Source organism: Homo sapiens, chromosome 11 (assembly GCF_000001405.40).
Source record: "Homo sapiens chromosome 11, GRCh38.p14 Primary Assembly".
Classification (NCBI taxonomy): Eukaryota; Metazoa; Chordata; class Mammalia; order Primates; family Hominidae; genus Homo; species Homo sapiens.
In genome coordinates, this window is record NC_000011.10 from 83,249,194 (window position 1) to 83,258,611 (window position 9,418).

Consider the following 9,418-nt stretch of genomic DNA (forward strand, 5'->3'; position numbering starts at 1 on the left):
AAGTTGTTGTTCTTCGTTTTTTCTTTTTTTGGACAGGGTGTTGCTCTTGTCACCCATACTTCAATGCAGTGGTGCCATCATAGGGCACTGTAGCCTCGAACTCCCTAGGTTCAAGTGATCCTCTTGCCTCAGCCTCCCAAGTAGCTGGGACTGTAGGCATGCACCAACACACCTGGCCAATTAGTTTTTTTGTTTGTTTGTTTGTTTGTTTTGTAAGGACGGGATCTTGCTTTGTTGCCAAGGCTAAGTTGTTGTTCTTCAGCTGCCTAGGTGGGACAATCTTTTGGGGTGGTCACGCAAGCTGCACATTTTCTTTTGAGCCATTCCAAACTGTCTACTTTAGGAATGTTTCTGTCTTTTAGCTATTTAGAAATTCTCTTTGCTTACTCAGAAGCATCTGTTCTCAGGTTGGATCTGGTTTCATACTTCACAGTTTTGCTTCCCTAAAACTTCACTCTACCAACAATGTGTAGGCTTTCAGGAGAGCTGTCTCAAGGTCCCTGTGCTCAGAGTTCATTTTTTTTTGCATTCTTGCTTTAGGTTATACCTAATTTTTGTAAATAAGCAAATGTCACTGAGCTTTCATGGCAGCTGCAACTCTGGCACTGCTTATTTTCACTTGCAAAAGCTTGAATCTCAATTTCCTCATCTTTAAAATGAGGAATAATAATACCTACCTCATGGAATTGTATTGATGTTAAATGGAATATTGTGTAGAAATCCTGAATTTGGTTTCTAGCACGCAGAGGTATTCACTATATAGTAGTAGTCATTGTATTATTTACTCCCTTTCTTTTTTTCCATTTTCTATATTACAGATGAGTTGACATGGTCAGTGGATAAATAAATGTGTAGAGCCACATGCAGCTAAGGATAGGAAGAATTTATCTGGGAGTCTAATTATATGTAATGTATAAGTAAAATGAACTTTTCGTTCAGGATTATAAATACGGAATCCTCAAGAAGCTCTGACTAAGTCTTTCTCCTGCCACCTTCTGGTCAGGACCTATGATTGCATACTACTGTACCTTAAGATCCTCGGCCCCCAACATAATCTGCAATAGTATAATTTTTACTGAGAAAAAAAATTATTCGAATAGTTTCCTAGGATAGTTTGACATATATAAAGCACTTAAATGGTTTTTTGATAACAGCTGTTTTTATAGCACTTTCTCAGATATTATCTCATTTTAGTCTGCATCAACCCTATGAGGAGGTAGAATGATATATATATTTTTGATCCCATGTTATAAATGAGAGGGCAGAGGCTCAGAGAAGTTGAGAGTCTTGTTAGAGCATACAGCTAGTGTAAGGCAGGAGCAAACTCAGAATCTCTGTCTCCACATTATATTTTTCTAATACTTCTGTGGAAATGACTATCAAATCCATACTTAAGTACTGTGTCCCCACTAGGGATCCCCACCTGTATTTCCCACTGCTCGTCAACTGGACATTTCCACCCGAAATTCCTGGTGGTGCTTGAATTAAAAAAAAATGTCCAGAACCAAGCTCAATATCAAGACCAGATTCTCTCCCCTATCTCTGCATTTAAATTAATGGCATCACTATTTTCTCAACTACCCAGTCTTGGACTCTTAATGATTAGCCATGTTTTCTCCTTTAGATCATACAAAAAGCGAGTCCATCCTGTAGGTAGGAACATGTTCTCTACTTTCACTGCTTCCCTAGTTTAGGTTTCTATATCTTTCTATCTGAACTACTGTGATAGAATTTTGGTATTTACTCCTTCCCTATCCAAATCCATTTGACTCACAGTGGTCAGCTTGATTTTCTTGTCACTCCTTGGATTGAAAATCTTCCTTACCTGAATAAGTACTGATTCTTCAGTTTGACATTCAGCCTTAACCTACCTCACCAACTTTATTTTTGTCTGTTCTCCTATATATATATTAATAGCTTATTTTTTCTTAAGCTACCCTATGCTTTCCCATCATTAAGCCTTTGTTCAATTTGTCCATATACCTTGAAAACTGCCTGTTGACTCTGTAAAATCCCCTAGGAGCCATCTCATTTATCACCCCTTTCCTAGTCTCCCTGGTCACACGTGATCTCTCCTTCTATCAAGCACCTTGTACTGGTCTGAGGGCTTCTCGTCATCTGTATCACAGCATGATTGGGCACTTACTTTACCCGCAGTACTGAAAATCTAAGTTTTATAAGATCACTTAACTTATGTTAATAACATCATCTTAGTCATCATTAACAACAGGTTTTGAGTATGTTGGGCTTAGTGTTAAGACTTTATATTCAGCAGATACCATCTTCATTTTATAAATGAAGAAATCAACTCTCAGATAAAATAAACAATTTATAAAGTTACAAAGCTTGTTAGATGGCTAGCCATGATTTCAACCTGTCTAGCCCCAAGTCTATGCTTTTAACACCACTTGTTACTGCTATTATAAACCCCTCACATTCCCTCTTTCTGTGCTTTTAAGAACATTTATTTTGAAAATTTTTCTTTGAAAACTTTTGATGATAGCTTTTTAATTTTAGTAAATTAATTTAGTAAATTAATTTTAGGGTTAATTTACTTATGAAAACTTAAAAATTGGTAAGAATTTTGTTAAAATGTTACACTATAAGTTCAAACATATATTTCAAGATATGTCTTAAATTGGAAGTTGAGATGATAAAATATAACGTAGGATATCTTCATGACCTTGGGGTAGGAAAAAAATGTGTAGACTGGACTTCATTAAAATAAGACTTCAGTTCATCAAAGATTATATGAACAGACTTGAAAAGGCAAGCCAAAGTGTAGAAAAACATATTTCCTTTCTTTCTCTCTGCTTTTCTTTCTTCTCTCCTATCTGAAAAAGAAGTTGTATCTAGAATATATAAATCAACGTGAAAAAGACAGTCCAGTAAAAAAACTGGGCAAGACTTGTGTAGGCATTTCACAAAAGAAGATATCCAAGTGGCCAATAAACATGAAATTGTGCTCAAAATCACTGGTTATCAGAAATGTAAATTAAAACCCAAACAAGATACCAATATATACCCATCAGAATGGCAAAAATTGAAACAGACGTTACCAAATGCTGGTGAGGATGTGGAACAACTGGAGATTTTATACACCAGTGGTGGCAGTGTAAATTGGCTACCACTTTGGAAAATTAATTCCTAGTGGAATTAGTACATGTTTCTTTGTGTACACAGATGGACACCAAAAATATATAATGTTCTTGTCAGCATTATTACATATATCTCTCAAACTAGAATCATCTAAAAATTCCCTCAACAGTAAGAATCAATACATTTTGCTATATTCATACAATGGAATATTATATAGCAATGAAAATGTGTGAATTGCTACTCTACACATCACCACGAATGAATTTCACAAACACTATGCTGACTAAAAGGAAACAATATGAAAGAACACATACCGTGTGATTACATGTAGTCCACAAATCAGTAAGATAAATCAAGTCAGTAGTGCCTAGGAAGGGGCAAATGGAGGCTTCTGGGATACTGGTAATGTCTAATCTCTTTATCTCAGTCATGGTCACAGGGGTGTGTTCACTTTGTAAAAATTCATCAAGCTGTACCTTTTTTTTTCTTTGTGCTCTTTGGTATATATATTGTACTTAAAACATTAAATTTAAACTAATATTTTAAGTATAATATATATTTAGATATATACTTAATACATATACTTAAATATAATGTAATAGCTTTGGCAGAGCTGTCTGTCCAGAGAGAGAGTTATGTAGCACTGAACTCATAGCTTCTGTCTCCAGAACCAGTATTATTCAGGAAGTCCTTGATCTACAGCTTTGGGCCATGTTTGCTAATCAAGAGTGACTGACCGGGAACCGGTAATATTCCATGGTTACCTTCCATGTTTCACTTAACCTTATTTTCTACCTACAAAGGTCTGGAACAAGGTTGAACTTTGATGTGGTCTCTGCTGGGCTTCTCTCTGACCTATGACATCCTAGCTTATGTACCTAGAGTGGCCCATGGAGCAATATGAGGACTTCAGTGAGTTTATCCATGTTCAACTCTTAGCTTGGGGAAGTTCTAAAAGTTTGTGATTTCCCTTTCTTTCTCTTTGTTTATACCCTACTTTTTTGGGGGAGAAGGGTTAGTTTTGACACTGTTAAGAAGAGTCTGTACTGGTAAGCAAGAAGGTGGAATTCTCTTATAGTTTCATATGCTGTCTAGAATTTCTCAGAGTGCATAGGCTTTTTGAAAAATAAGAATTCCATATATCCCAGCAGTAATTTGTAGATCCATAAACTCTTTCAACAGTTTTATATGTAGAATTTTAATCTGTTCGACAAACCTGTTCTTTCAGGGCAAAAAAATACATACATTTTCCCCACAAGGATTTTTGTCTAATTTTGTTGTAGTAATAGACTGCATTTACATTTAGAATTGCTTTTGGTGCCTAAGCATTATGATTCATGTATTTAGTATCTTAATATACAGTTCTATTGAGTTTAGGAGAAAACATGTATTGGGGAGAAATATATTTCTTGGCTATGATGTAAGATAAAGAAACGAGTAATCTTGGTGAAAAATGTTCTCCAAATGCAGAAACTTTTAGAATTGGGAGATTTGGAACCTTCAGTGAACACTTATGGAAGGCCTGTTGAATGCCAAGCACATATTTTCTTTTGAAGTTGTATTTTAAGACTTGGTTTGATAGAACAAGTTACATATTTGGTGTTAGGAGGGACTTTGGAAAATTTGGAATCCTCTTCTAATACATAAAAGGTAAAGAAAAATAAGTATTGCTGTCTTTGGAAGTCTTTAATTAATTTTTTTGAGACACTATCTCACTCTGTGCCCAGGCTGGCATTCAGGGTCATGATCTTGGCTCACTGCAACCTCCAGTTCCCAGGCTCAAGCAATCCTCCAGCCTCAGCCTCGTGAGTAGCTGGGACTACAGGCATGAGCCACCATGCCCAGCTAAATTTTTTTGTATTTTTTTGTAGAGAGAGGGGATTGTTGTCCAGGTTGGTCTCAAACTCCTGAGCTCAAAGTGATCTGCCCACCACAGCCTCCTAAAGTGCTGGGATTACAGATGTGAGCCACCATACCCTGCCTGTTTCTGGAAGTCATAACTCTATTAAAGCACTAGGAAATTGGCTACATCTGACAAGTAGCCACCTCTTCCCCCTAAATTTTCTATATTCTTTTTCTAGTTCCATCTAGTTGGATTAGGTTAAACTCCTGCCCCACCTGAGTGTTTTTCTTTTTTCTTTTCTTTTTTTTTTTTTTGAGACAGGGTCTTGCTCTGTAGCACAAGCTGGAGTGCAGTGGCGCAGTCTTGGCTCACTGCAGCCTCTGTCTCCTGGGTTCAAGCGATTCTCCTGCCTCAGCCTCCTGAGTAGCTGGGATTACAAGTGTGCAGGACAAGCCCAGCTAATTTTTGTATTTTTAGCGGAGATAGGGTTGGCCAGGCTAGTCTTGAACTCCTGACCTCAAGTGATCTGCCTGCCTTGGCCTCCCAAAGTGCTGGGATTATAGGCGTGAGCCACCGCACCTGGCCTCATCTTTAAAATACTGGTAATGCTACTTACTACACTTGATTTTGTATGTATAGTATGAAGAACAGTTGTATCATATGCTAAGTCCCAATCAAAGGTTTGTTATTTTTCTTCAGACTAGCCGCTAAACTTTTTTTCAAGAGACCATCTGTATTACCCTATGCCCACAAACACCTGGCCACTGTAAGAGAAAGCTAGAAGTTTATCCTACTCTCAAGTTTGCAGCTGAGGGATATGGGAGGGACCAGATGCATGGTTGTTTTTCCAGGCGGTGTTGGATAATGGCAGCTTACTTACGTGTTCACACACTATTGAGTTAAACTAACTGGACTCATTAGAAAAGGTGTGGGCAGGAACACCTTGGAGAACTAACTCCAGCCATGGGCTCTCCCCAGGGATATGCACCTTTTGCTGTTCTTGGAGCCTCTGTGTTCGGAGCTGGCTTGCCTAACTAGATGCAGAGCATGTTTGATTAGAAGAATTACTCAAAGATGATTAATATCTAGTGACCATCCATTGTGTTTCTAGCCCTGCTTGCTCCTTCCCATGGTATTTATTGATTTTTCTGTGCTGGGTCTTAAGAATACCAAGATGGATAAGAAATATTTAGAAACAGTGAGACCAGGAGACCAGGCAAAGTGCAAAATGAGACTAGAGCAGTAGAGGGATGCAGTACAAAAACAAAAGAGGGAAGCGGGGAAGCTAGGGAATGATTCGCAGCACTATGGGACTGGCAAAAGAATCCAGAAGATGACATACTAACACTTGCAGTTACCAATATGTTGTTAAATATTAGTGTCTGGGGATCTGTTAGGTAGAGATAAAACTTAATGAGATAAGACGGAAAATTGGCTATATCTGACAAGTAGCCACTTCTTACCCACTAAATTTTCTATATTCTTTCTCTAGTTCTTAAGGTGCCTCCTAGTGATATGATTCAGCACAATATAATGCACTGTTACTTCACATTTGGGAATTTATTCACATAAAATCCTAAAAGAAATTTAATCAGAGTTGAAAATACTAGCATGGTTAATTTTTTTTTCTTTTGAACAGGCAATGTAGAAAGACGAAAATGTGTGCTAGCATGAAAATTGTATTTGACCCTCTTTTCCTTTGCTTATAGGAAGACAGCGCTTCTTGTGAGTCAAACAAAGAGAAGAGGCGAGTAAAAAAAAAGGTTTCTTCTGGAGGGGTGTTTGTGAGAAGGTACTAATCAGTGAAATAACTAAATTGACCTGCTAGATTTTTCTCTTTCATTAAAAAAATTGATATAAATGTGAGTCTATACAAACTATCTCAGAATTACTCTGATATGCTTCTGTTCCAATTCTGATGGCAGAAATGTTATATTAAAGAGATTTAGAGATTTTTTAAATGACACGGACTCAGTTGTGCACCTTCTCCCGATATTCTTCTTATATATCTCTACACAGGCAAGTCAAGAGATTTATGAGTAATTAATTTTACAAGTATTCACATAAGCTTTAAAATATTAGCTGGTATAGTAATCAAAAGAAATCTAGTTCTAGATATTAAAAATTATTAAAAATTCAATTATGGTTCCACAATAGAATTATATTTCTTTCACTTTCTAGAGAGTACCTTTCACTTCTAGTGTGGATATGTTTAAAAAAATTTTTTTTCAAATGGCGTAACTGCAAGCTTTTTAAGAATATAGAGAAGAGGCAGATTGGACAGGATAAGAAACACTTGGCTTTATTTTTTCCTCTTTTTCTCCTTGATCTTAAAGATTAGTAGTGCTTGGCCAACTAAAAAACAACTATGGCTTTTCAGTTCAGTTCTGACTTCAATTCCCTCTTTTTTCCTACCCCCCTCTCTTTTCTCTTCTCTTCCCTCCATGAGCTAGCAAAGATTTATAACTCTTGGGTCCAGCTGTGTAGCTCTTGTCTCCCCCTGAAGATCTGTCACTGGTTTTGGGCTTCCCTGGCAGCAGCCATCTCACCATTCCATAGACTGCCCACCCTTTGGACCCTTGCATATACTTCATGTGGACGCTAAAGTCATTTTGACATGGTATCATCAGAACTAGTTTGCTGTGACAAGAGTGCATTTGATTGCTGAAACCAGTTCAGCAGGTTAAGGGTCTGTAAACAAGTGTTAAAAAATGAACTTTGGCTTCCAAGGTTAATCCCAGCTCTGCATTGTTGTGTAATCCTAGGCACAACTACTTAATCTCTTTATATAAAATATACCTACCTCATATGGCTGTCATTGGGAGAATTAAGAGGTAGTAGAGGACTTGGAACAGATCTTATACAAAGTGCCCAATAAATGTTGACAACTGTTATTACTATAGATTGAAAGCCACAGAAGAACTAAAAATAGTGAATATAAGGGTTATTAAAAGGATAGGTGAGTCATTTTTTAACACTTGCTTACGGACCCTTAGCCAGCTGAACTGGTTTCAGCAATCAAATGCACTCTTGTCAGGGCAAACTAGTTCTGATACTAGGTCAAAATGGCTTTAGTGTCCATGTGAGATAGATGCAAGGGTCCAGAGGGTGGGAAGTCTGGGGTATGGTGAGAGGGCTCCTGCCAGGGAAGCCCAAAACCAGCGACAGATCTTCAGGGGGAGACAGGAGCCACAGAGCTGGCTCCAAGAGAGTCATAATTCTTTGCTAGCTGGAGGGAAAGGAAGAGAAAATAGAGGCAAGTAGGAAAAAAGAGGGAATTGAAGTCAGAACTGAACTGAAAGCCATAGTTGTTTTTTGGTCAGCAAAGCACATTTATTGGGCACTTTGTGTGAGATTTGTGCCAAGCCCTTAACTATCTCTTAATTCTCACAAGAGCCATATAAAGTAGGTATATTTTATAGAGAAAGTAGTTGTGCCGAGGATTATATAATGCTGATCTGGGATTCCAACCTTGGCAGCAAAAGTCTGCATTCTCTTAACCATTACTGGGATTTCAAAACCATTTATCTTCCCTTCTGGGACTACAGACAGCCTTACTTTTCCCCTCTAACTTGATGCTAAAGTTAATCCCAACCCTGGAAATAGTTTGTTGTACTTGCTCCAGTTTTCTCTAATTTCTTCCTGTACCAGTGAGGTAGAAAACACCAGAATAGTGTTGTAATAAAAGCATACACACCCTGTGGCAGAGGTTCCCTGGTTGTCCTCCAAAATCCATTCTCCCTTCTTCTGTAGTGGGAAGGATTTATGTGGTCTGTGGCCGCGCAGGATAAGAACTAACTTCCCAGCTTGCCTTTGCAGCCAAGAGACCAAGTTGTGTTCAGAAGGATGTGAGCAAAAATGTTACGTAAAACCTTAGGGTCATGGCTATAATGCCACCTCTTGCTCTTTTCTTCTTCTGGAATGTGGATGTGGTGGTGAGTCAGCCACTGGACCTTGTGAATGAGGGCAACACCAGGATGGCAGAGCAGTAAAATAAGGAGCAAGGGCCCTGACACCATGGAGCTGACATATTAGCCCTAGAATGCTTACATTGGACTGTAAGAGAGAAATAAACCTAATCTTATTTAAGCCACTGCTATTCTGGATCTTGTTACAGCAGCTAAATTAAAATTATAATACAATTCCCAAATTGTGTATATTTATTCATAAATCATATACCTATATTATTGACACATTTAGGTTAATGAAACAAAAAAAAAAGGTTATTAAAGAGATTTAAGTTATTTTGTTCCTATGACTTAGTAGATTGTCCATCTCATGAGAAAGAGTACTCAGGTTGAACCCTACTAGTATATTGAGTGACAGCATGAGAGGGTGAGATTTGGAGTTAAAGACTTGAGTCCCTGTGACTTACTTGCTGGGGGACTGTGGACAAGTTACTTCACTTGGCTAAACTTGTTTCTTCAGCTGTAAAATGAGGATACCATCTACCTAAGAGGAGAGCTGTGAAAATAG

The 9,418-nt window shown here is 37.9% G+C and overlaps 1 protein-coding gene across 3 annotated transcripts in view, besides 1 other annotated feature; it reads left to right on the plus strand.

Moving 5' to 3' along the window:
- The window catches only part of ANKRD42 (ankyrin repeat domain 42), a 70,571-nt gene that overhangs the window by 55,482 nt on the left and 5,671 nt on the right, over positions 1-9,418 (plus strand). The window contains exon 12 of one of the 3 annotated variants that reach the window (NM_001433541.1): positions 6,652-6,734. In NM_001433541.1, the coding sequence (NP_001420470.1) occupies positions 6,652-6,734 (83 nt within the window). Of the gene's footprint in view, positions 1-6,651; positions 6,907-9,418 lie in introns of those variants that run through there. The other 2 variants (NM_001300972.2, NM_001300973.2) reach the window with 2 other exon arrangements.
- Positions 8,714-9,008: a silencer, noted in NCBI's record as "tiled region #3734; K562 Repressive non-DNase unmatched - State 15:Elon". NCBI's record gives its function as "represses a minimal TATA promoter and a strong SV40 promoter by Sharpr-MPRA in K562 cells {active_cell/tissue: K562}" and the evidence as "EXISTENCE:reporter gene assay evidence [ECO:0000049][PMID:27701403]".